Raw genomic sequence first — 25,841 nt, 5'->3', positions numbered from 1 at the left:
TGCAGGCTGCTGGGGGTTGCTCTGGGCGCGAAGCCCTGGGGATCAGCTCCTGGTCACCTGCTGTGGCTCTCCTCACCCTGCTCTGCCAGGCGGGACGTTCTGGCCCTCATGGGCACCCTTCCGCTGTCTCAGCACCATGGGGGGGCAGCAAGCACCACCAAGCAGGGGACTCGGGAGCAGACACCGCAGGCCACGCAGAAGCAGGCCACCTGCCAGGTTCCGAGGGGTTCTTGGGAAATGGTGGGAACCCCCCTTCAGGCCTGTGCCAGGTGGTGGAGGTCGGGGGGGCTGTGGTGAGCACTGTGGCACCTGCTCCTGGGGCTGGCCTCTGACCGCTGTGCAGTGTTCAGGGTCAGCCTCTGAGCTGGAGGAGGGTGAGCCTGGGAGCAGGCGTCGGGGTGTAGGGTGCCAGTGTCCCAGCCAGGCCCTCCCCACCCGCCTCACCCGGCCTCTCTTTCCAGTTCCAGTTATACTCCGTGTACTTCCTGATCCTGTCCATCATCTACTTCTTGGGGGCCATGCTGGATGGCCTGCGGCACTGCCAGCGGGGCCACCACCCGCGGCAGCCCCCGGCCCAGGGCCTGAGGAGTGCCGCGGAGGAGAAGGCAGCACAGGCACTGAGCGTGCAGGACAAGGGCCTCGGAGGCCTGCAGCCAGCCCAGAGCCCGCCGCTTTCCCCAGAAGACAGCCTGGGGGCTGTGGGGCCAGCCTCCCTGGAGCAGAGACAGAGCGACCCATACCTGGCCCAGGCCCCGGCCCCGCAGGCAGCTGAATTCCTGAGCCCAGTGACAACCCCTTCCCCCTGCACTCTGTGCTCCGCCCAAGCCTCAGGCCCTGAGGCTGCAGATGAGACTTGTCCCCAGCTGGCTGTCCATCCTCCTGGTGTCAGCAAGCTGGGTTTGCAGTGTCTTCCAAGCGACGGTGTTCAGAATGTGAACCAGTGACTCTCGGGCGCCCCTGTGGTAACTTTGCAGGCGGCCCTCAGTGCATCCCCACGACCCCTGCCTCGAGGGCCGCCTGCCTTAGCAATGGGGGCCTCCGCTTATCCTGCTAGCAGGCCCCCTAGGATTCCCCCTGCCCTGTGCCGCACTCTGGCGGTGGCCACAGCGTGCTGGCGACACTCAGGGCAGCTGCCTGGCCATGCTGTCCCTGCACTGTGCCCCGCGGGCTTTGTTGCTGGAAGAGGTGGGTGGTGGGCTTCTGCGTCCACCAGGCCTCACTGGCTCATGCCCCTTGGGGGGCTTGAGACAAATCCTTTCTGCCCCCCAGGGCTAGTGAAGTGGCCTCTTGGATACCAGCTCAGGGGACACTGGCCCCACAGGAGTTGTGAGCCCTCTAGGGCAGGGTGGGAGCCGGGACCCTCAGGTGTAGCTGAGCTGTGACATTGCTGGTCATCCTTGGTGCTCTTGCTTTTTTGAAAGATGCTTTTTTTTTTTTTAACTGACGTAGAATGAAGAACTGCATGTGGCTTCTCTGTCTCTGTGGAAAAGCCATCTCAGGTTGGCGGCAGACACATTGTCATCAGAGGGGAGCAGCGGCTCTGGTCCTCGGAGCTGGTTCCTCTCTCCCACCCTAAGGGCAGCCCTCCATGGTCCTGTCTGTCCTTCTGAAGTGTGTCCATCCTGACCTGCGGGTCCTCAGCTGCTCCCACACTTGTGCCAGCCCGGAGGGGACTGGTCCCGGTCACCGCGGACGTGCTGGCCTTGGTATGTGCCAGGCTTGCCTGGGCTGGGCAGCCTTGGGGGGGCTGCCTTTGTGGTGGGCGCTGGGGAAGTACGTCCCAGCGGCCTCAGGGTCTAAGGAGCGCTAGTGCCTTGCCCACAGGTGCGGGACCATCTGATGTGATGTGAATACTCTTCCCACATACATTAAACACACTTAAGTGAGTGTGCGCAGGGCTTCTGATTCAGGGCCGGCCTGGCCTGGGGGTTGAGGGTCAGCAGTCAGTGAGGAGGCCAGGAGAGGCGTCCCAGCCTTCTCCCGCCTCCAGCCCACGCAGGGCCTTGGTGCCCATGAGCTGAGCACCCCCACAACCCTAGTCAACGGCCCTATCCTGTGGGGCCTCTGCCACATCTCAGCGGCCCCAGGTGAATGGCTGGCTGCTCAGCACGGAGAGCTGGGGAGAGAATCTCTGGCTGGGGAGGGGCTGCTGGAGCTGCTGGACCCAGGGGTCTCCCGAGGTGGCTCAGGGGAGCAGGCATCTTGGGGTACCCTGGGTTGAGGCAGAGGCTGCACGTGGAAGATGGCCCGAGTCAGTGGATGGTGCCAGTCAGACAGGGCCATGGTCCCAGGTGCATCCAGGGGCTCTGTCATGGCCACCCTGGGGACCCTGCTTGGGGGGGGGTCTGCACCAGCCATTTCCTGGGCTCGTAGATCTAGCAGGATGTGATGGGTGGAGGTGGGCTGGGCCTGTGCCATGGGCTAGAGCGTCACTGGGGAGGCCCACACCGCCATCAGAATCCTCCTCCCAGCGCCTCCCCAACCTGAGGGCCTGCTCCCTCCGCAGCCTGCTCACTGCACCCACTGCCTGCCTGCCTCTGAGTCCTGCACTCACCCGTCCACCAGGACAGGGATGGCTGTCAGGATGTAGTGTTGCTGGGAGCAAGTCAGGTCCTGCTGTGAGGAGAGACCTAAGAGTGTTGGTGTGTGTCCACACACCCGTGCATGCCTGTGTACCTGTGCACACTATGGATGCTCCTGCACACCTGTGTACAACTGCACGCCTGTGTATGGCCATGCATGCATACCCCATGTAACCGTGCGTGCCTGTGCACACTCGGGATCTGCCAGTGGGGCAGTCCAGGGATAAAAGACTCCTGAGAACTCCTTTTGGAGAATTGTGTCCTTCCTGTGACAGTGAAGGCTGCTTGCAAACCAAGAGTCAGTGTAAAAGGTCACTTTTATTTGCCTGTCTGAATTGGCTTCACATCACACACAATTACAGAACCAGCCCCACCGGTTTCGTCGCAGTCCTGAGGCAGGTGCGTGTTGGCTGTGCTGTGGTCAGCCTGGCGCTGCCCTGAGTCCACTTGTCCCTCCACAGAACGAATGACTCGGGTTGATGTTGCCGGATCTCAGGGGTGGCTGTGACTGACAGAGGACCTTGTTGCACCTCGTGGCTGCTTTGTTCACCCGCAGGGCGGCCTGTGGGCACCCCGGGGTTCCCCTTCAGTCCCAAGGAGGGTAAGGATATGGGTTTCCTAGGAGACAGCCAATGACTGCCCTGCATCTGGAGCCAGCCTGTCCATGGGCAGTGCACAGATGACAGCCCTCCCTCACTGCCCTGTGTGCTGGCTACCGCATGTCCTGTGCCAGCCTCAGCCTCTTTGATGTGGCCGTGTTCCATCCTGGCGCTCAGCTGGACAAGTGCTGGCTGAGCCACGTCCCAGCCAGGGGCATGAGATGGGGGCCCTGGATGGGAGGCTGCCAGACCCCAACTCATGGGTCCCTTGAATCTCCCAGCTTGGACTCGGCCAGGGTGGAGCTGTCTGCTTTGGATGTATCATCTCATGGCTCATTTGGGAGGCCAGCCCCAGGCTGCTGTGCTTGGTGTTGGAGGACAGGCCGGAGCTGGGGGTCACAGTGCGCCTCTGAGCTTGGGAACCTGCTTCAGCCTGGGGTTGCTGTGGAGAATGGCCCAGAGCTGAGCAGAAGGGGCTCCCCCTAGCCCCAGGGACCTGAGCCTCCCTCCCATCTACCGCAGGGCGAGCACACACCCTGGAGGAGCCCAGATGGCCTTGTGCTGAGTGTGGCCTCAGCTCCCATTGCCTCACGGGGCCTGTCTGCTAACAGGTCTGGGTTTTGTGCACAGAACGGTGCTGCTAGGTGGGAGATGAAGTCAGCACCTGCTGGGGCGAGCACGGCTTCCCAAAGCAGGAAATCCTGGAGAAATCGAGCCGTGGTCTGATCAGGCCAAGAGGTTGCACAGGGCATGATACTGCACCCTGCCTGACCCAGCTGGGCTCACAGGTCAGGGGAGAGTTGGGGCAGGTGAATGTCAGCATCAGGCTTCTGTTTTAAACTTTTAAAAAAATACACTCTTTGGCTTCCTTTTATTTCTTGAGGATTACATGAAACGTGAACTATACAGGAAAGTATGGCAGCCAGGTCCTGGGGCCAGGGGCTGGCCGGCCGCTCCCTGCCCACGGTGGGGGCTTCCTCCGAGCCGCCGGTCCTCTCCGGCCATCCGCATCCAGGCGGTGGCTACTTGGAGGCAGTCATGAAGCTGTTCTCAATGCAGAGCACGATGTAGGCGTGATGGCAGCTCGCGGCACTCTGCCCCAGGAGCCTGCCCCCCAGCAGCGAGGAGGCCTGGCCCGTGGCCGAGGGAGCCTCCGTCCGCCACGTCTCACAGTAGCTCTCGGTCAGCCTGCGCCCGTTGGGGTCCGAGCCATGCCACACGCTCTTCTGGGGCCTGTAAGACGCGCCGGGCCGTCAGTCAAACCCAGACCTGCTCTGCTTAGGGCAGAGGCCGCTCCCCGGGCAGGAAAGGTGGAGGCAGGAGGCCAGCCCTGGGGTTACCAGGGGGCTGCAGAGGCTCCCACAACCTGGAGGGCCACATGGCCTCCCTGCTGGCTGCCTGTGGAGGGGGCTGCATCTCCCAGACTGCCCCCCATGCTGCTTCTGCCAGACACACCCACGGCAGAGGGGAGAGGGGCCAGGGCTTGGCCTGGCTGGGTGAACCTGGCCCTCATGCCTGCTGAGCAGAGGCTTCCTGTGGCTGCCTCGCTAGGAACCAGCTCCGCCTCCCGGGCTCCTGGCTTTCAGGCCTTCCCTGGGGCCCAGCCCTGCCCACAGCACTCCTGTCAGAGACCCTTGGCAGGTGCATCTCCGTTACAGCAGATGGCCAGGCACTGCTGGGGACACGCTGTGTGGCACCCCGAGACACCCCTAAATGCATGAGTGTTGGAAGAATCGCGGCGCTCACGTGGGGAGGGCACAGCGACATTTGGGACGAAGCGTTCTTCTAGATACCCTGGAAATTTCTGTCAACATTTTAAGGGCACACATGCTCGGACTCCGTGTTGCCCTTTGAGGAGTTTATTCTCGGTGAATAAACTCGCTGCGCTGCTTACATGGCTGACCACAGGCTTGGTGACATCCGGGAGACATGGAGTCTATCCGCCATGAGCAGAGGGCCGGGGGCACCTTCGGGGCCTTCTTACAACTACCTGGCTCTCAAACGCATTGCTAATGATGACTTCTCAGAGCAGTTCTCATTTTTCTCAATGCTCTTTTGGATTTTGTAATTTTAAAGTAATGAGCATGTATAAGATTTGTCCAAAAACTCGGGGGGAAACTGCAGATAGGAGCCCGCCCGCCCGCCTTCCCTGGCTGGGGCTCTCAGAGCTGCTCACACGGCACTGGGAACCTACCAGGTGGGGTGCCTCAGGACGTCCTTGCCGTCAAAGGAGAAGATGCGTGCCCCGGGCTTCAGCGGACCCTCAGAGCCTGAGAACAGAGCCTCCCAGCTGGGAAACAGCAGCTCGTCCTGGAAGAGAAACCGTGTGTATGTGTGTGTGGTGTGTGGGGGTGTGGATGGGTGTGGGTGTTTGTGGGGGGGTGTGTGGATGTGGGGTGTGGATGTGTGGGGGGGGGGTGTGTTGTGTGTGTGGGGTGTGGGGGGTGTTTGGGGGTGTATGTGGGGTGTTGTGGGTGTGTGTTTTTTTGGGGGGTGGGGTTCTGCAGCCCCTGGGCATGTCCTGCCAGGGAACAAGCGTGGGGGAGCCAGGCCTGGCCAGGCAGCCTCTGCAGACCCCAAGAGGCCTTGGCTAAGGCAGGGGACCCTGTCCCCTAACGCCAGGCCACAGCCGCCTGCTCCCAGCCCTGGGTCTCTGACCCCTCTGCTGTTGGTTCTGGGGAATGTGGGTGCTCCCCGGGGCACCCAGAAGCCACAGCCCAGTGCACGAAAAGGGGCCACAGAATAAAGCCACATGGGTGCTGTGGCAGAGGGGCCACCAGCCCGCATGGCACTAGAGGCCCAAAGGACGGTTCCTGATTCCAGGCTTGTATGTGAGCCCTATCACCTGTGTGGACACTTGGTCCAGCAGCATGGGACCCTCTGAGGGGCACTGCCGGGGGAGCGGGGGGTCAGGGGGCCACGGGGGGGCCTCATGGGATGCCCTGGGGGACGTGGCAGTGCCCAGGGATGCAGAGGCCTGGCCTGAGCCTGGAGGGGTGTGACCCACCCGGAGCCTGCCCTGAAGTCGCCAGCCTAGGCGCCAGTGTCTGTAACATGGTGGCCTCCAGAGGCCCTAGAGGGGAGCTCCCCGCTGGGAGTTCACCCCAGAGGTCAAGTGGGGGCCGAGGAGCCCGCGCCCTCAGGACTGGACTGACCCACCTTGAGGTTGACGATGGGCACGGCTGCGCGGTCGGCACGGCGCACGATGCTGTACAGGTCCTGCAGGCGCGAGGACAGGAAGGCGCGGAAGGTGCCCGCCAGCCCCACGGCCCGCGCCTGCTGGAAGCACTGGAAGTCGGCCCCGCGGATGCCCCGCATGCCGCCTGACAGGGGGCTGTTGAGCGCAACCAGGTGGAGCTGCGGGGAGAGGGGCGCGTCACGGGCTGTGTCCCACGCTGCCCCCTGCACCCAGGCCCCGGGCGCACCACCCCGGCCCCGCACCTGTGTGGACAGGCACGGCCGAGGGGCGCTGAGCGGGAGGCGCGCAAGTGACACACTGAGGGGCCCAGGCAGCAGCCCCCATACGCTGCCAGGTCAGAGCAGCCCCGGGCCACGTGGGTGCCCCCAGCTGCCGCTGTAGGCGGAGGTACGCCGGTTCCTCAAGGATGTGACAGCGGCTGGACTTTCATGACCACTGCTTGGCCACCAGAGGGCAAGTCCCAGGGCCAGCCAAGCCGCCCTGAGTGGCCCTGAGCCGCCAGACCCCCACCCATGGCCGAAGCCTGGGACCCCCAGCAGCTCTGCAGGGGCTGGGCCCTCTTCTGCTGCCGAGAGCCGAGGGGCTAGATGGAGCCAAGCCCACTTTGGGGGGGCACTCACCACCGGCTGGAAGTCGCGGTGGCTGTGGGCGGGTGGGCTTGTGGGTCGCGCCGGCCGCAGGTGCACGTAGGAGCTGTGGTGCGGGGCTCCGGGGTAGGGCTGGGGCTCGGGCAGGCGAGGGGGGCTGGCCAGGATGTCATCTGCCCGCCAGGGCCGCGCGGTGGGGTGGGGGTGCTCCCGCCGCGGGTAGGGGTTGCTGTCGTGCAGCTGCACCACGGGGGGCTGCAAGGCGGCCACTTCATTGTCCTGCAGGTGGGAGACGTGGGGCCTGTCGGCGGGGGGACCCTCCGGGTGCCCCTCCTCCATCTGTGTCCTCCTCTGGGCTGGGTGAGAGGGGCTGGGCTCTGAACTGGCAAGCAGGGAGCTGCGCCCCCGACTCTGGGGCTGCCCTGGGGGTGTAGGCAGCAGCAAGGGTGGGGAGTCCTGCCTGCCGTGGCGCCGGATCGCGGGTCACCTCTGCTCAGGCCCCACAGACCCAGCCGTGCTCAGAAGCCGCAGCAATCACTCACCACGTGCCCTGACCTGCCCTCTCCTTTGCCGCGGCTCCAATTCAGGGCCCCTGACCTCAACACGGCGACCTTCGACCTTCTAATCTCCCAGGGCCTTGCTCTGTCTCCCTCAGAGGTGACCTCCACCCTAGAAATCCCAGCCCCCAGGCCTGCACCCCAGTCCGGATGCCCCTATTGATTCTGCACCTTTCCCCACGGCCCTCAGCCCCTCCTGACCCAGCTGCCATTGCCATCCACCTGCACCCTGTCCACATGGCTGTCCCCACTGTCTGCTCCACAGGGCCAGGCTGTGTGTTACCCAGGGCAATATCCATGGCCACCCGGCACACAGGAGGGGCCATGACTATTGACTGGCTGAATGAAAGAATGAATCAGCAAATGAGTGAGAGCAGACTGGGCTGAACCCTGTGAGGAGACAGGCCGCTGTGGAGCCCCTGACACTGCTCCACATCAGGCCTCACTCCTGAGCCAATTAAGGAATCATGACCTCTACTCAAGGAGGGGCCGACAGCAGCTGGACGCAACACTTAGGAAAACGAAAATATTTCTACCCATCCATCCACCCACCCATCCACTAACCCACTTACCCACCATCCATCCACCCACCCATCCACTCACCCACCTGTCCATCCACCCATCCACTCACCCACTTACCCACCATCCATCCACCCATTCATCCACTCATCTACCTATCCACCATCCATCTGCCCACCATCCATCCACCCATCCACTCACCCACTTGTCCACCATCCATCTGCCCATCTATCCACTCACCCACCTGTCCAGCAACCACCCATCCACCTCCCCATCTACCTACCCATCCACTCACCCACCTGTCCACCATCCACTCACCCACTTACCCACTATCCACCCACCCATTCATACACTCACCCACCTGTCCACCATCCATCCATCTCCCCAGCTACCTACCTATCCACTCACCCACCTTTCCATCCACCCACCCACCCGTCCACTCACCCGCCTGACCACCATCCATCCACTCACCCACCTGTCCACCATCTACTCATCCATCCACCTCCCCATCTACCTACGTATCCACTCACCCACCTCTCCATCCACCCATCCATCCATCCACCTCCCCATTGATTCACCCACCCAGTCACCCACCACTCTTAGAGATATCCATTCTTGTGTCTGGCACTTTGGGTGAGGGAAGGCAAAGACACAAGATGTGGATTTTGGCCCCAAGGATTTTGACCTTGAGGAGGGCAATGAGCGGCAGACACAACTGGGAAAGTTGAGGGATGAGAGGGGCTCCCTCGTGAGGCCAGCAGCTGAGACGGAGGTACTGGGGGGCCAGCGCTGAGACAGAGGTAGTGGGGTGTCCTGCACCAGTTTCTGCAGCAGGGGCTGATGGTGAGCCACATGTTCAGCTCCAGGACTCCAAAGGACCACGTGTTGTTCCTCAAACAGGGGACAGCACATACCCCCTCATGTCCTGACCACCCACCAGTCTCAACAGAAAAAAGGCTCCTTACCGTCCCTCGTGGGAGTGGTGTCCGGGCCTCCAGCTGGAAGAAAGCAGCAGGGTCACCCAGGACCTGCGGCTGGGCCTGAGCCAGGGTGCCCTCCCTGCCCAGCACCCGACTCTCCCGCCCCAGCACCTGGCCCTCCCAGCCCACAGGAGGGTGCCCTCCCTGCCCAGCACCTGCCCCTCCAAGCCTGTGCCAGGGTACGCTCCCTGCCCAGCACCCGGCCCTCCCAGTCCACAGCAGGGTGCCCTCCCTGCCCAGCACCCGGCCCTGCCAGCCCACAGGAGGGTGCCCTCCCTGCCCAGCACCCGGCCCTCCCAGTCCACAGCAGGTTGCCCTCCCTGCCCAGCACCCACCTCTCCCTCCCCAACACCCGGCCCTCCCAGCCCACAGGAGGGTGCCCTCCCTGCCCAGCACCCGCCTCTCCCTCCCCAACACCCGGCCCTCCCAGCCCACAGGAGGGTGCCCTCCCTGCCCAGCACCCAGCCCTCCCAGTCCACGGCAGGTTGCCCTCCCTGCCCAGCACCCAGCCCTCCCAGCACGCGTTTGCTAGGATGCCATCCCCTGCCTCCTCCTGTCAGGACCAAAGCCCCTGAAAGTTAGGATGGGGCTGCATCCGGGTGCCTACAAGCACACCTGGCACACAGTGGGCACCAGCTCAGCATCTGCTATGAGACTGGCAGCCTCTCCCTGGCCAGATGAAGGGACTGGAGTGGGATTCACTGTCTGGGGTGCTGCAGGGGCTGGCCAGGCCTAGGAGGGGGCCGGTGGCGAGAGGGAGGGAGTGCTAGAGGGAAGGTGGGAGGGCTCCAGAGGGAAGGTGGGAGGGTTCCAGAGGGAAGGTGGGAGGGCTCTAGAAGGAAGGTGGGTGTGTTGGAAGGTGGGAGGGCTCCAGGAGTCAGGGCTGTGTCAGTGTGCAGTGTTCTGCCATGGAGGCTCCCACGGATGTCACAGGCCGTTTCGGCGGCATGGGGCTTCTACCCGTCCTCACCTTTGCCACACGAAGGTAAACCTTCCCGGGGCCCTGCAAGCATGGCCGCACCCACCTGGATCAGAGCGGCCACTCCTGCCACCCAGACCATTTTGGGAAAGCAGGAAAGGGGCTGGCCTGTCCTGGAAGGGGCAATCCCAGGTGTGTCTGAGGAGCCAGGCTGGTGAGCAAGGCCCGTGCTAAGCAGAGAGGATGCATTTCATCCCACCTTGGTGTTTATAACGCGGGGTGCAGAGCCACGGGACAGCCTGCCCCCCAGCCGGGGCCGTGCTGTGGACGTCACGTGGCCCTGGAGGGCCTGAGCCCCCCTGCCGCCTCGTCCCGTCAGGCGCCTTGTCTTATTATCGGGTGTGTGAGGTGACATTTATCTTTGTAAACGTTCACTGTGACATGACCCACCAGGAGCCCCTCACACGCCATGTGTTCATCCACTTTCAGAAGCTTGAGCTCACTTTTCTTTAAACCCAAAACTGCTCACAAAAGTATTTTACTAAACTTTACCAAAAGTTTGAAAGTTTAAGAAGCGCTGGCTGCCACCTGCTCCCATCCCTGTCCGGGGCCTGAGCCTCTCGCCTTCCTTAAGCCCCAGGAGGCGGCTTCGGCCCTTCCACGGGTCCAGAACCCGTCACACAGAGCGCTCACCTGGACCTTCCGGAACCCGTTCTGCACGCGGACGTAGAGCTCCTCCTGCTCGGCCACGAAGATGAGCCAGCCCTCGGGAACCTCGTGCACCTGGCCCAGCATGGCCTGGCGTGTAGCCCAGAGCCTCACCTGCTGGGACCAAATGCAGAGGTGTGGGGCTTGGCGGGGAGGGCGGGGGGCAGGGGCGGAAGGAAGGAATGCCCGTTTCAGGGTGCTGGGCAGGGGCCGCAGGGCTTTGGACAGGTGTGGACTGAGGCGGCTGCCCCCATGAGCACCATGGGGACCCCTGCCTGCCGCCAGCTCCTGCGCCTCCGTGGACAATGTACAGGCCCTGGGCACTTCCCGGCTGGTGGTCGTCCTCCTGGGTCCACCTGATTCCCCCATGGCCTGGCCCCGCTTCCACCCTGGAAACCGCATCTTGGCCTCCTGTATATCTCCCTGTGGGGTCCGTGGGAGAGTGTCTCTGAGGGGCAGGGGCTGCAGAACCAGCCAGGGCACGGGACGCAGGTGCCCAGCCGGCTGCCCAGACACTTACCCCTGAGGAGGCGCCCATGGTTCCAGGGGGCCCAGGGGGCCCAGGGGGGCCCGGAGGGCCGGGAACGCTGATAGCTGCAGGAGAGAAACCAAGGTGGGAACACGAAGCCACACGAGGCGGCCTCTGCCCGGGGCCCACTCCCCACTGACTTACTCTGCCTGTGAGGGCCAGGAAATGAAGGGGGCCCTGGGGGGCCTGGGGGGCCGGGAGGGCCCTGGCGCCCCTCGTAGCCGATGCCGGGGGGTCCCTGAGGTCCAGGTGGGCCGGGCTGGCCCCGGATGCTCTCTCCCTTGGGACCCTACGGACGGCGACAAGAGACGCTTCCTGGTTACCTCGTGCCCTGGACTGGGGGCGGGCAAGCTTGTGGGGCTGCAGCTGCCAAGACCCCCTTGGCGAGCGCAGCCTCTGAGTCACCGGTCCCCTCCCTGCCCACGCCATAGCCTGAGAAACCCCCACACCATCACCCCTTCTTCCCTGGGGGTGCGATCCCGGGGGAGAGACCAGCAGAGACCTGACAACAGTGTGGGCCCCCAGGCAGTAGCTGGGGCCCATGGCTCTCTGGAGTCTTTCAGGACTGATGGGCCTAAACCCTGATCTGACCTGACCCGGCCCAGGAGCAGAGGTGGATGCACGTGGCCCCAGCAGGAGGGCAGGCCATGGAACGCTGCAGGGGGACGGGGGGTGTCCGGGGTCAGTGCACCCACACCCATGTGGCCTGCTGCGTCCCCACACGGGGACAGGGACATGTCGGGGCTGCTGAGCTTGCAGGGGCAGCTCCGGCCTTCGCGGGTGTCGAAGGCCGGGCTGGACCTGCCCTCGGCTCCTGCACCCAGACCCCTGGGACATGGGCTCTGCCTGCACAGGCTGGGACTTACTGGAATCCCAGGGTAGCCACGTGGGCCTGGGGGGCCTGGGGGGCCGGGGGGGCCGGGCAGGCTGGAGCCGAAGAAACCGCCGCCCCCGGGCTCCCCCCTTTCGCCTTTCTGTCCTGCATCACCTCGGTCTCCCTTCTCCCCCTGTGGACGGAAACACTTGTTACACGGGAGCCCTGAACCCCTACAAGCCACAGGTGGCCTCCCATCCCCCCGAGCCAGGGCTGGGCAGTCAGAAGCTTCCGGAGCCCAGGCCTGGGAGCTGCTGGCTGCATAGAATAGGGCTCGACTCCCCACCTCCCACTGCATCAGCCGAGTCCCCCAAAAACTGAGCCGGGGACAGGAACATCCTGAGGGACGCCCTCGACACCCTCTGGAGCCAGCGCCCCTCGCAGGGCTGAACAGGAAGGGGGCTTGGGCCGGATGGGGCGAGAAATTGGGAGCAGCCACCCAGCGGGATGTACAGGACCTTGGGGGCCCCCAACCCCACAGGGAGGTCACCCACCTTCATTTCAGCCTCCAACTGAAGAAAGTCAAACGGAAACTGCCCTGCAAGAGAGAGACAGGCGGGGTCTCGCTGAGGTGGTGTCTGACAGCGCCGGGTTCCCTCTGCAGCCCCCAGCACTGGTGGGTTTGCCTGAGGCCCTTCTAGCCATTTCGCGGTAGAGATCGCGTATTTAATTAGGTTCTTCCTAGTTAACCGATACTTTCTGATGTTTTTGTTAATGGTGCCTTTTTATTTTTATTTTATTTTTAAATTTTTTAAATTTATTATTATACTTTAAGTTTTAGGGTACATGTGCATGATGTGCAGGTTAGTTACATATGTATACATGTGCCATGCTGGTGTGCTGCACCCACTAACTCGTCATCTAGCATTAGGTATATCTCCCAATGCTATCCCTCCCCCCTCCCCCCACCCCACAACAGTCCCCAGAGTGTGATGTTCCCCTTCCTGTGTCCATGTGATCTCATTGTTCAGTTCCCACCTATGAGTGAGAATATGCGGTGTTTGGTTTTTTGTTCTTGCAATAGTTTACTGAGAATGATGATTTCCAATTTCATCCATGTCCCTACAAAGGACATGAACTCATCATTTTTTATGGCTGCGTAGTATTCCATGGTGTATATGTGCCACAAACAACCCCATCAAAAAGTGGGCAAAGGACATGAACAGACACTTCTCAAAAGAAGACATTTATGCAGCCAAAAAACACATGAAAAAATGCTCATCATCACTGGCCATCAGAGAAATGCAAATCAAAACCACAATGAGATACCATCTCACACCAGTTAGAATGGCGATCGTTAAAAAGTAAGGAAACAACAGGTGCCGGAGAGGATGTAGAGAAATAGGAACACTTTTACACTGTTGGTGGGACTGTAAACTAGTTCAACCATTGTGGAAGTCAGTGTGGCGATTCCTCAGGGATCTAGAACTAGAAATACCATTTGACCCAGCCATCCCATTACTGGGTATATACACAAAGGACTATAAATCATGCTGCTATAAAGACACATGCACACGTATGTTTATTGCGACATTATTCACAATGGTGCCTTTTTAAAACTTCATTTTTAATTGCTTAGGACTCGGTGGTGGTTTTTCTAGACTGCCCTTCCATCTGGTGACTTCGGTACATTGACTTACTCATCCTGAGAGTTCACCTGCAGATCCACTTGTGGGGCTTACGTGGGAGACGTGCTGAGAAAAGAGCAACGCGCTTCTTTCCTCCCAGCGTCCTGCCCTTCCCATCTCTCCTCTGCCTCCTCCCAGGGTGGGCAGGCAGCTGTGTCTTGGCCCTGACTTGAGGGTCCCTCCACCCTCTCCAAGGGTGAAGCTGTGGCAGTTCCAGGTGGCTCCTTCCAGACCACGGAGGAGCCCTTTGCTGAAATCCCTGCTTGTTGCTGCTTCTCTCCTTTTCCTCAGTCCCGGCAGAGGTGCAGGAATGTTGTTCGCCTTTGCAAAGAATTAACTTTGGATTTTTGGACTTTCTTGATCCTTGCTATTTTTATATATAAAACATACGCAATTTCTCTTCACTCATTTTTGATGTTTAATACTTCTTCCCATCTATTTTCATCAAATAACTGTTTGTTGTTCTTTAAATGCTGTTTGTTCTTTAACATCTTAGGCTGATGTGTAGAAACAGGTACTACTTAAAGCTGTAATTTTGTCAACGGAGATGACAAAACCCCTTCTCCTTCCAGGTGGGACCTTAGACGGCCCTGGGCAAACCTTCTCCTGTGACTGTTCCCCTGAAACCGTGACCGGGGTGGGGACCACCTCACCCCTGGAGGCATGCCCTGTAACCCAGAAGCTTTGGAGCACGTGGCTCCACACCCCCAGGGCCCCCCATCCCACAGGAGCCGTCCCTGGGGTTGGAGGTCACTGCTGCTGTCAGGACCCGTGCTCCCTCTCGGGCTGGGCCCTGCTCCGGGTCCTTCTGCAGAGGGAGGTGACCGGCTGTGGAGCCCCTGGGGGTCCTTCGGCAGAGGGAGGTGACCGGCTGCGGAGGCCCCTGAGGGTCCTTCTGCAGAGGGAGGTGACCGGCTGTGGAGCCCCTGAGGGTCCTTCTGCAGAGGGAGGTGACCGGCTGCGGAGGCCCCTGAGGGTCCTTCTGCAGAGGGAGGTGACCGGCTGTGGAGCCCCTGGGGGTCCTTCTGCAGAGGGAGGTGACCGGCTTTGAAGCCCCTGGGGGTCCTTCTGCAGAGGGAGGTGACCGGCTGTGGAGCCCCTGGGGGTCCTTCTGCAGAGAGAGGTGACCGGCTGTGGAGCCCCTGGGGGTCCTTCTGCAGAGGGAGGTGACCGGCTGTGGAGCCCCTGGGGGTCCTTCTGCAGAGGGAGGTGACCGGCTGTGGAGCCCCTGGGGGTCCTTCTGCAGAGGGAGGTGACCGGCTGTGGAGGCCCCACCACCTGGGAGACCGGGGATTGTGCAGGGCAAGGCCCCTGCGGCTGCAGTGTGAGGGCTGAGGATGCCCTGGACGCACCTAAGCTCCCAGGGGTTTCTGACTTCCACCTGCTTCTCCTGGATTCCTGAGCCACGTGGAAGACCACTGCCCTGTGGGCACTTCCCACTTGCTTCTACTGCACTCGTGGGGTCACAGTTCCTGGAAGCCAGGCCTGCTTTCAGCCCAGCCTGGGCCCCTCTGGGGCAGACCCCGGTCCCGATGCTGGGGACGTGGCCTGGAGACCTTCGCAGGTGACGCCTGTCAGACCTGATGTTCAGATCTCCCTGGGCTGAAAGTCCCCCTATAATGATTGATTTGTGTTTTTCTTTTTCACTTTGCCAATTTTTCACTTGTCATATCTTGAGGCTATCTCATTAGATGCATAGAAATGTAGAATTACTCAATTTCTCTGGTAGACTTGCTCCGTTGTCTCAATGAACATTTATTTTTGACCATGTTTCTTACTCCAGGATATACTTTGCACACACACACACACACACCAAACCACACCCCCACACTCCACACCCAACACACACCAAACCACACCCCCACACTACACACCCAACACACACACACCAAACCACACCCCCACACTCCACACCCAACACACACCAAACCACACCCCCACACTACACACCCAACACACACACACCAAACCACACCCCCACACTACACACCCAACACACACACACCAAAACACACCCCCACACTACACACCCAACACACACACACCAAACCACACCCCCACACTACACACCCAACACACCAAACCACACCCCCACACTACACACCCAACACACACCAAACCACACCCCCACACTACACACCCAACACACACACACCAAACCACACCCCCACACTACACACCCAACACACCAAACCACACCCCCACACTACACACCCAACACACACACACCAAACCACACCCCCACACTACACACCCAACACACACCAAACCACACCCCCACACTACACACCCAACACACACACACCAAACCACACCCCCACACTACACACCCAACACACCAAACCACACCCCCACACTACACACCCAACACACACCAAACCACACCCTACACACCCAACACACACCAAACCACACCCCCACACTACACACGCAACACACCAAACCACACCCCCACACTACACACCCAGCACCCCCATAGCCACACTCCACACACACCCCACACCACACACCCAACACCCACATACACACACTCCACACACCCCCACCCCCTCACACACTACACACCCAACACCCACATATGCACACTCCACACCCCTCACACCCCCACTACACACCCACATATACACTCCACACACCCCCACTACACACCCAACACCCACATATGCACACTCCACACACCCCCTCACACCTCCACACTATACACCCAACCCAGCCACACACACTCCACACACACCCACACTATACACCCCCACACTACACACCCACATGCACACACTCCACACTCCACCCACACCCCCACACTGCACACACTCAGCACACCCACATACACACACTCCACACACACCCAAACCCACACCAGCCTCTGGGTGCCTCGACCTCTCCAGCCCTCACGTTCGGGGAGCGTCTCTTGTAAGCGGCACATGGTTTAGCCATATCCCATTGACAATGTCTGTCCTTCAATGGATGTATCTACCCTCGTCATACTTACAGCACCTGTAGATGTATCGGGACCTAAATCTACTGTTTATTCCCTAGTTTCTATTCATCCCACGTGTTCTGCATTCCTTTTTCTCTCATGTTTTGCCTTCTTTTGGATCTACTCTGTGTGTTTTAAACGTCCTGTGTGTGTGCCGTCCTGCCTGCCCTCCTGCCTCTCCACCAGTGTTAGCTCTGCATTCCTCTCCAACCTCACCGTCCAATATAGTGAGAACTACCACCACTCCCCAGGGCGCTGAGACCACGGGAACCTCTAATTGCACTGACGATGGGACACCATGCTGTGCAGCCTGTGCCGGTTCCTGCGGGAGCCTCTGACCCCACTGTTCCTGGGATGCCATGCGGGGCAGCCCACGCGGGTTCCCGAGGGAGCCTCTGACCCCACTGTTCCTGGGATGCCATGCGGGGCAGCCCACACAGGTTCCTGAGGGAGCCTCTGACCCCACTGTTCCTGGGATGCCATGCGGGGCAGCCCACACGGGTTCCCGCGGGAGCCTCTGACCCCACTGTTCCTGGGATGCCATGTGGGGCAGCCCACGCTGGTTCCCGAGGGAGCCTCTGACCTCCCTGTCGCTGGGACGCCGGTTCCTGCCAGCGTTGTCTCTCCCCATCTCTGCACTCCTTTCCCTTGGCCTTGTCTTCCCCCTGAAATACCCTCCACTGCCGACACAGCTCGGGTCTGGAGTGGCTGGCCTGCATGTCATCCTCGTTCTGAAGGCCACGGGAGTACCACTGGCTGTCGGAGTCTACACTGGCAATTGACTTTCTTGGATATTTTGGAAACCATTTATGGTCTTCTGGCTTCTCCCGTTTTGTTGAGAAATCTCGTCACTCTAATTGTTGATCCTTCGAATGAGGGGAATGCTCTGAGCCTTCCTTGGCTTTGGAAGAGCATCAGCCATTCCGCCTGCAAACACTGTTCCCTCTAGAGCCCTCGGAGCCCTCGTTCTGGCTCCCAGGGACAAGCAATCCCACGTCGACCAAAACCTATACACAGGTCTCAATCTCCAACTGTTCCGCCTTCAGCCCCAGGTTCATCCTGACACCTCTGAGCTTCCCAGCTCTCTGCTGCCATCTCCAGACTTCCTGTGGCTTTTGAATGTGTGACCTTCAGAGTTCAAGGTGGGTCCGATGACCCCATGAGCTGGGCCTCCTGGTCTGGTGTGTCACTGGCCTCTTCTCCTGGTTTCTGGTCATCTGTGCATCATTCACTCCTTCCTGGGCGTCGTGTGTGACGCTGAGAGATCCAAGGCTGGCATGGGCACATCTTCCATCTTCCCGCTTGCTTTCTGCCTGCCTTTGCCTCCACAGGCCTTAAGGATGTCCCGGCCCAGACTCGGCCTCTGCCTGCCTGGTCCCTTCCCACCCCAGAGTGCAGCCCCAGCAAGAGCAGGTATGGCGGCCTCCTCTGCAGAGGACCCTGGCAGCGAGAGGGGACCCTGGCGGCGAGCGGGGACCGTGGCGGCGAGAGGGGACCCTGGCGGCGAGAGGGGACCGTGGCGGCGAGAGGGGACCCTGGCGGCGAGAGGGGACCCTGGCGGCGAGAGGGGACCGTGGTGGCGAGAGGGAACCCTGGCGGTGAGAGGGGACCCTGGCGGCGAGAGGGGACCGTGGCGGCGAGAGGGGACCCTGGTGGTGAAAGGCGCCCGAGGCTAGCCTGGCTCTCTGGGCTTCTGCTCTGCCAGCCCCCAGACATCCTCAAACAGTGGTTTTCTCACATTTTATCCAGCTGTTCTCAGTGGTCTTGGCAGGACATCCAAGCAGCCCTGCCACCCTCAATGGAGGTGGGGCTCAGGGGGGAATTCTTGTCCTTTGGGGGAGCAGGGGTGCTGGGCTCACCCTCCAGACGGCCTGTCGGGCAACGCCTCCTTCCCACATGAAACCCTGGAGAGTTTCTCGACAGAGGGTCCTCCAGTGCCGACCCCCGGCCCCGTGGAGGGGAGGGGGCATCTCAGGACACTGAAGCTGCTGTGTCTCTGCGCAGTGCCCACCTGGGTCTAGCATGGAAGGGCAGCCATCTGCTCCTCAGGAGGTGATGGGGCTATCTTGCTGGGCTTGTGCCCTGCAGCCACCCTCGCCCCCAAATCCAGGTCCTATGAGGCCCCCATCAACCCAGAAGGGGCTTCCTTCCTCCCGCAGGGTGAGGTGGTCACCACCCAGTGAGGGTCCAGGACCTGCTTGTGGTGGCGGCTCTAGGTGTGACCACACTTCAGTGCTGGCCACGCCATGGCTCTCCTGCCTGGGATGTCCAGAGTTGCTCACCTGGTGGTCCGGGGGGGCCCACTTCTCCTTTGGCGCCCTTGGGTCCTGGAGGGCCCTGATTCCCTGGAGGAAGAGAGACCCAGTGCCCATCAGGAATGTGCCAGGGAGGACTCCAGGGTGGTGCCCCTCCTGCCCGAAATGCCCTAGTGCCTGGGGGCCTGGATGGGGGGGCATCAGATGGACATGGGGACAGTCAGGGTAGGAGCTGCTGGAGAGCAGGGGCGCCCTGGGTCCCCGTCAGCAGGCCATGTGGGGGCCAGGCCACACCTGCAGGGCACGTGCTGACCAACAGGAGGGACGGGGCTGCTTCCACCCTGCTTTGGCCAGAGAAGCAAAATCTCAACGGAGAACAGCAAATGGGGGCCACCCCAAGGTCAGGTCCTGGACGGCTGTGCTGGGAGGGCCCGCAGGAAGGGCCAAGGTCATCGGAACTGGGGCGTGGGCTGGGCGTGTAGCACTGGCCTTGGGCCACTGGGGGAGTCTCACTGCTGCTGGCACGGGAAGGAAGGTGGGGCTCTGGAGCATCCCTTCAGAGCCTGTGTCCCCAGCTGTGAGCCCAGGACCCTCACCTGGCAATCCTGGAGGCCCGGGGCGGCTGGACTCAGCAAACACCTGCAAGGAACGGGGAGAGGCGGCTGCTGAGGGCGATGTTCTGAAATGGAGGCCACCACCACTCAGGGGTCCCCAAGCCCAGAAGCACCAGCCCCTGTATGAGGCCACATAGCAGCCTCCCCCAGTCAGAGACGGGAGGGAACAGGGGTACGGAGAGCAGGAGCCACGGCCTGACGCCACTTGGCCCTCATTGGTCACTTCACCTTGCTGAGCCTGGGAAAATGGGGGTGCCCCTAGCAACCCTGGGCTCAGGCCCTTAGCAGAGCCAGCTGGAAGCAGCTCCACACCCAGAGAGCCCTCCCTTTCCCAGGCCTTCACCTTCCGTGGGAACTCAGCTGCTAATCCACTGCCCACCAGACTGGCACATCCTAGAAGGACCCCCAGACGCAGAGGCCAGGGGAGAAGAAGGCCCAGCCCCTCTGTGGGGCTCTGTGTGACAGCCAAGGGTGGCTGTAGGACAGTGGGTGCCCTGGGGACTTACATTGCTGTCGTAAACAGGAGTCCCTGGAGGGCCTGGGGGCCCTGGAGGTCCTGGGGGGCCGGGCATTCCCTGTGGGGAGGGCAGAGAGCTGTTAGGCTTATGGCCTGCCTGTCAGGCAGCAGCTGGGAGCAGAGACAGTTCAGAAAAATCAGAAAAATCAGAAACCTGACCAGGCAGACCTCTGACCAGGCAAAACCGAGAATGCAGTGGGTCACTCGGGCCACGGCTCCCTGAGGACAGGAACTGGCCCCGGCCCCACCTCATCCCACGCTGGAGTCGTGCACAGACGTCCCTCGGGAGGAGTGAAGAGGCCACCGGGTCTGCGTCTCAGGTAAAAAGGTGACTGAAAATGCCCCACCCTGCTGACATCAGGGAGACAAAGCTCTTGGCTCAAAAGACAGCAGAGTGGACACCTTTGGGCTGAGCGGGAGAACCCCCAGCATGGAGGGCTTGGAGGGCATGGAGGGCATGGAGGGCATAGAGGGCATGGAGGGCATGGCCCAGGCCCATGGATGCCCTGCTGAGAATCCACAGGGGCCTGTTGTATGTGTGTATATGGGTGCACATGTGTGCATATATGTGTATTGGTGTGTATGCATGTGTATATGTATGTGTGCATGAGTATACATGTGCAGTGTGTATGCCCATCATGGAATGGGCCAGGGAGGGCTCATAGTCATGTATGTGGATACACATGTGGATACGTGCACATGTATGAGTGTATGTATATACCTGTATGGGTGTGCACGTGGACAGGCTCGTATATGCATGAATACATGTGTATATGTGCACCTATGTGGAGTGTATGGGCATGTGTACACACATGAGCACGTGTGGATGTGTGTGTGCGTGTATGTGTGCGCGTGTGTATGGGCATGTATGTGCATAGATGCATGTGTATATGTGCACACATGTATGAGTACGGCCATATATGTGCATGCATGTTTGGGCACACGTGTGCGTGTGTGGACATGTATGACTGTGCATGGGTATGGCATGACCAGTGCTGTGTGGCCACATGGCAGGGCTGCTTATAAGTGGCCTCTGGGAGGAGCTGCAGGACCCCAGGCTGTGGCCAGGCCATTCCCAGGTCCTGGTCTCCCAGCCACCCAGTCCGCCCCTTGAGAGACACTCACCCTCATGCCAAATCCAAGGCTGGCATCTCCCGGCTCCCCTTTCTCTCCTTTCAATCCGTTCATCCCGGGGCGACCCTGGGGCGGAGCACAGGGGGTGGGGACTGCTGGGCACTGATGATTACCAGACACCTTCCCGCAGGGTGCCTGCCGTTAGCCCCACGCCAGGCCCGGCCGGCCCACGCTCAGCCTCACACGTTCCCAGCTCTCAGGCTACCCCGGCCCTTCTCACCCCTTTCCTGCACAAGGACCCTTTTGGGAGGAGGTGACTGAGCCTAGCACACACAGGCCCACTGCCCTGTCTGCCTCCAGGGCTTCCTCCTGGGTACTGGCCCCTCGTGGGGTACTGCCAGCCACATCCAGGACAAGAGCTGCGCTCAGGCAGGGCCGGTTCTTGGGGGAGGACAGTGGGTGCGGCGGCCGTCCACTCCCCTCTGGGCATGTCACCCCCGTGGGCCTGGGCTGCTCCCCACCTGCCAGACCCCATCTGCCGCCCCCACTGGAGACCCCAGGTCCTCACCGGCCGTCCAGGAAAGCCAATCTCTCCCTTGTACCCCGGCCGTCCGTATGGACCCTGCAAGAGGAAGGGGGCCAGGCTTAGTGGGGCAGACCCTGGCCCTTGACCACGAGTTGGGGGGTCCTGGGGAAGGGGAGGGGCCATGCAGAGCACAGCACCCTGGGCCACCCATCAGCTCGGAGGAGCCCACTGCAGCCTCACGCCGACACCTGCCCCACACGCTTTAAAACTGCACTAGGGAGATGAGCCCTGGGCCGCACAGCACAAGCTCAGCAGCCGCGGGCGACCGTGTCCTTGGGGGCCGTCATGCCCGAGCTCAGTGCAGAGAAAGCCAGGGACCGACTTACCGGGGGTCCTCGGAAGCCCGGCTCTCCCTGAGCAAAAAAACAAGAAGACAGGGTTAGGTGGCAGCTTGTGCCCCACCTGGCAGCCTCTCTGAGGGCCCCTGTGGCGAAGGCACGGTTAGGTGGCGGCTTGTGCCCCACCTGATAGCCTCCCTAAGGGCCGCTGTGGTCCCTTTGGGTGCACTGGGCCGTCCCCAAGGCGCAGGCAGCCCTGGGGAGGACAGGAGCCACTGGTGAGGGGAGGGTCGGGTTTGGGGTTTGCGTCCAGGTTGGTGCGTGCATGCATGCCCCGGGACCCTGAAGCAGGGGTGGAGGGTGGAGGGTGGAGGGCATGTGCCACGCAGTGTCCTGGTTGCCACAGGCCCCAGCTCCAATGCACAGCTGGGTGGGATAGTGGAGCTCTCACTGGGCCTGGGGATCCTGTGTCTGAGGCCCACCCCAAACACCCCGGAGGGCTCACTGCTCCCTCTGAAAGTGGGAGAGCCGGTGGCCCACACTCCAAAGATCCAGGCTTCTCCCCAGGACCCTCCCCGAGGGCTTTTCTGGGCGGCTGCCTGCTGGGGGTGGGGACGCAGGCACAGGCCCCTTGAGGAACTGACTCCGGGCCCTGCCCACAGCATCAGGGCCCCCAGGAAGAGGCTGGAGGGGCAGCCAGAAACCTGCTGAGGCTGAGCTGGTACAGCCTGGGCTCCTGCACCCCACAGGCCAGGCCCCAGGGAGGCGCGAGCTCAGAGCTGCAGCCCACTGAGAACCTCCCCTCAGCAGGGTGGGCTCAGGGGTAGGGAGAGGACGAGGGGCAGGGAGAGGACGAGGGGCCGGCGGAACCGCCGACATGGGTGCGAGAAAGGAGGGGCCACCAGGGCCAGGCCTGGATGGTAGAGCCCTGCTTGGGAGAGGCTCGTGCATCAGGAGCCAGACCCTCAGGAAGACCCTCCCCAGGCTGTCTCCACAGCCCCAGGAGCCCCCACGCCTGCCGGAAGGAGGCTGCCCGGCCCTCACCTTGGCTCCTTTCTGGGCAGGGCCCAGGGCACCGCCGTCGGGGCTGAAGATGCTGCCCGGTTCACCCTTCTCACCCTGGAATGGCAGGAGGTCCAGCAGAGTCAGGGCCAGCTCCTTCCCCACAAAGCCTCACCCAGAGCCCCGAAGGCAGGGCCGCTGTGACTGGGCCTCGCAGGCTGGGTCCTTTCACGGGAGGTGACCACAGGGACGGCCCGAGCAGGGATGTACCCCTCACGTGTCACAGCAGCAGCCGGGGGGTCCCAGGTCCCTCCCAACAGTGGTCATCTGGGCAGGCTGGAGCCACCCCTGGGTCACAAAGGGGGTTGAGGGACAGCACCTGAGCCCCTTACCTTGGGTCCCGGGGAGCCTCGTTCGCCCTTAGAGCCCAGGTTGCCCTTGGGTCCTGCAGGTCCCTGGAATGGAGGCCAGGCCGTGAGGCCCGAGCGGCTGGCATCTCCCCCATCCCCGACGGCTGCTCCATCTCCCCCGACAGCTGCCCCCCGCAATATGCCTGCCTCGACAGCCCGACCAGGGCCCCTCGCGGCCCCAGCCTCACTCTGGACACTGCAGGCCTCCGCAGGTGACCCCCACCAGGACACCTCCCGGCCCCAGCCTCACTCTGGACACTGCAGGCCTCTGCAGGTGCAAGGAGCTGCCTCACCCTCACGGGTGCCCACCCAGCACAGGGCCTGCCAGCGGCTCTCGCCCACATCCCACTCCCATCATTTCCTTGGGGGCAGTGACTGTCGCTATCCCTCGGGCCTGACAAGGCCCACCCCAGCTCGACCGGGCTGCTCTGTGCTACCAGGTGGAGACCCCTCCCCAGCCGGGCAGCATGCAGCTCTGGCACCAGGTTACTCACGGGAAAGCCTGCGAAACCCGGCCGGCCCTGGGGAAAGAGGGACGGCGTCAGCTGGGGTCATCACGCACCCTCGCGCCTGCCCGGACCCCACCCAGCCTTGTACCCAGGTCCCCGCAGGCCCGTCTCTTAGAAGCTGGGCAGGCACATACCTCAGGTCCCGGCACGCTCAGGACGGATCCCTGTCCACGAGCAAAAGGAAAAATCGGAAACAAAGAGCCGCGTTTAAAATTCAACTGGACTCGAGCGACTTACAGATCAACAAAACACCAAACCAGGAAATTCAAGGAAAATGTTGCTTTCCAGTCTTCCTGGGCCTGGGGCATCCCTCCTGCAGCACAGACGCCCCTCAGCTCAGAGCAGCTGGATGCAGACTCCAGACGCCCTAAGGGCCATGGTTTTTACTTCCATTTTGTTTTAAAATGCTCCTGCCTCTGCTAGACGCTCCCTTGCTTGCCGGCGGAGGTGGCTCGGCCTACGGGAGGCTTTTCTGATGTTCTGATGTCTTGACCGTCACGCCGAGGTCCCTGTGGCCTCTCGGGCTGCCCCTGCCTCCCGATGCCTGTCTGCCTGCTCCTAGCAAAGCCGTGCTGGGGCAAGCCCTCTCCTGCCTGTTCCCAACTCCACCCCTCCTCTCAAGACTGTTAGAGTCCCACCTCCTAGGTGGGGAGCTGGAGCACAAGGGTTAGGTAACTTGTCCAGTGTCACACAGCTGACGGTGCCTGCTCTCAGCTCTGCCCCGGGCAGCCCCCCTTCCACTGGTGGCCACAGAGAACTCTGCAGGGATCTGAACCCCTGGCCACACCCAGCTCTGCTGCCCTGGGCCCTGCATCTGCCCAGGGCTCAGCTCCCTGCCCAGAGTGGGGCTTGGTCCCTGTGTTCCATGTGGCTGGGCGGAGATGCGTCTGCCTCTGTGAGGCCAGGGTGGCACAGGGACCAGTGGGATGCACTGCTGGCAGGCGCAGAGGGTGCAGCTGAGAGGCCTGATGGACGGGCCGCAGTGGGGGAGGAAGGTTCCGGAACCAACACAACCTTCACCAGAGGGGCCAAGGGTGCATCTGCTTCTTCTGACGGGGCAGCTGGGTGACTACATGCAGCTTTGGGGCCACAGTGTCAAGGACACAGGGAGTGAGCCCAATGGGAGCCTTTGACGTAAAAACACTGGCCCCTGTGCAGGCCCTCCCCTCTCCTCGGTGTCTCCAACACCACATGGAGCTGGGCTCCCCAGGCGTCTCTGACCGAGGGCGTCTGCAGCCCCCACCGAGGAGGTGGAGTGTAGACTGGCAGTCAGGGCCTGTCCTGACCTGGGGGATGTGGGGGTGTGGGGGGGGCTCGGGGAGGGATCTCTGCACCCCGTGGGGGGTCTGGACAGATTGGGTGCCCACCCACGCAGCGTCCTTACGTCCTGCTCCGACACGTAGACCACAGGTCCCGGGGGTCCGGGGGGGCCAGGGAGGCCCGGCTGCCCGACTCCGTCCTTCCCTGGATCTCCCTGGAAGAGGAGGCCACGCGTCCGGCATTTCATCTCAACCGCTCTGGCCAGGACCCCAGAGTCCACCCAGCCCTGGAGGGGGTGCCCAGAGCCCACGGTGGGTGAGGAGGCGCCCGGGGCTGTGGACTGTGGCCTTGGAGCCCCCTGCCAGGCAGGGCAGGCTCCAACAGGGACGGTTGAGCCACACACGCTGCCCCCAGCCTGAAAGCCACCCCTGTCAACTTGAGGGTCTTTGCCCTGAGTCTCTGAGGTCACATGGGCAGCAGGGGCACGGACCTGGGGCAGCTGAGGCCAAACCTTCTGGGATGTCCCAGCGCCCCCCATCCCCATCCACCCGCCCCAGGGACACTCACCTTTTCTCCCCGGCTGCCTCTGTCTCCCTTTGGCCCCTGGAGAGACAGGAAGGAAATGGTTCATCACCAACAGAAACAGGAGCCCCTGGCCCCCCGTGAGGGATGGCTCTG

The 25,841-nt window shown here is 61.8% G+C and overlaps 2 protein-coding genes across 28 annotated transcripts in view, besides 3 other annotated features; one reads left to right on the top strand and one right to left on the bottom strand.

Annotated features, from left to right (window-relative positions):
- The window catches only part of SLC19A1 (solute carrier family 19 member 1), a 60,509-nt gene extending 46,424 nt beyond the window's left edge, over positions 1-14,085 (top strand). For 16 of the 25 annotated variants that reach the window (XM_047440961.1, XM_011529700.3, XM_047440954.1 and 13 more), the window contains one exon: positions 462-4,037. In XM_047440961.1, coding sequence (XP_047296917.1) covers positions 462-944 — 483 coding nt within the window. In that variant the 3' untranslated portion in view covers positions 945-4,037. Of the gene's footprint in view, positions 1-461; positions 4,056-13,632 lie in introns of those variants that run through there. The other 9 variants (NM_001352511.3, NM_001205206.4, XM_047440960.1 and 6 more) reach the window with 2 other exon arrangements.
- Positions 170-676: an enhancer, noted in NCBI's record as "H3K27ac-H3K4me1 hESC enhancer chr21:46935840-46936346 (GRCh37/hg19 assembly coordinates)". NCBI's record gives its function as "activates a minimal SCP1, AML or CMV promoter by ChIP-STARR-seq in naive H9 embryonic stem cells {active_cell/tissue: H9 hESC(naive)}" and the evidence as "EXISTENCE:reporter gene assay evidence [ECO:0000049][PMID:30033119]".
- Positions 1,184-1,691: an enhancer, noted in NCBI's record as "H3K4me1 hESC enhancer chr21:46934825-46935332 (GRCh37/hg19 assembly coordinates)". NCBI's record gives its function as "activates a minimal SCP1, AML or CMV promoter by ChIP-STARR-seq in naive H9 embryonic stem cells {active_cell/tissue: H9 hESC(naive)}" and the evidence as "EXISTENCE:reporter gene assay evidence [ECO:0000049][PMID:30033119]".
- COL18A1 (collagen type XVIII alpha 1 chain) overlaps positions 2,882-25,841 on the bottom strand; it is a 108,556-nt gene continuing 85,596 nt past the window's right edge. For all 3 annotated transcript variants that reach the window (NM_001379500.1, NM_130444.3, NM_030582.4), the window contains 22 exon segments: positions 25,731-25,766; positions 25,288-25,377; positions 24,038-24,067; positions 23,889-23,915; positions 23,377-23,439; positions 23,027-23,101; positions 22,031-22,057; positions 21,687-21,740; positions 21,170-21,244; positions 20,034-20,102; positions 19,510-19,552; positions 18,941-19,003; positions 12,548-12,591; positions 12,046-12,186; positions 11,324-11,468; positions 11,171-11,244; positions 10,636-10,764; positions 9,009-9,041; positions 7,001-7,246; positions 6,341-6,538; positions 5,376-5,491; positions 2,882-4,414 (listed from right to left, as the gene is read on the bottom strand). In NM_001379500.1, the coding sequence (NP_001366429.1) occupies positions 4,204-4,414; positions 5,376-5,491; positions 6,341-6,538; positions 7,001-7,246; positions 9,009-9,041; positions 10,636-10,764; positions 11,171-11,244; positions 11,324-11,468; positions 12,046-12,186; positions 12,548-12,591; positions 18,941-19,003; positions 19,510-19,552; positions 20,034-20,102; positions 21,170-21,244; positions 21,687-21,740; positions 22,031-22,057; positions 23,027-23,101; positions 23,377-23,439; positions 23,889-23,915; positions 24,038-24,067; positions 25,288-25,377; positions 25,731-25,766 (1,989 nt within the window). In that variant the 3' untranslated portion in view covers positions 2,882-4,203.
- Positions 23,894-24,394: an enhancer, noted in NCBI's record as "H3K4me1 hESC enhancer chr21:46912122-46912622 (GRCh37/hg19 assembly coordinates)". NCBI's record gives its function as "activates a minimal SCP1, AML or CMV promoter by ChIP-STARR-seq in primed H9 embryonic stem cells {active_cell/tissue: H9 hESC(primed)}" and the evidence as "EXISTENCE:reporter gene assay evidence [ECO:0000049][PMID:30033119]".

This window comes from Homo sapiens, chromosome 21 (assembly GCF_000001405.40).
Source record: "Homo sapiens chromosome 21, GRCh38.p14 Primary Assembly".
Classification (NCBI taxonomy): domain Eukaryota; kingdom Metazoa; phylum Chordata; class Mammalia; order Primates; family Hominidae; genus Homo; species Homo sapiens.
Note: the sequence above shows the minus strand (reverse complement) of the source record. Positions and strands in the feature narration are given on the sequence as shown.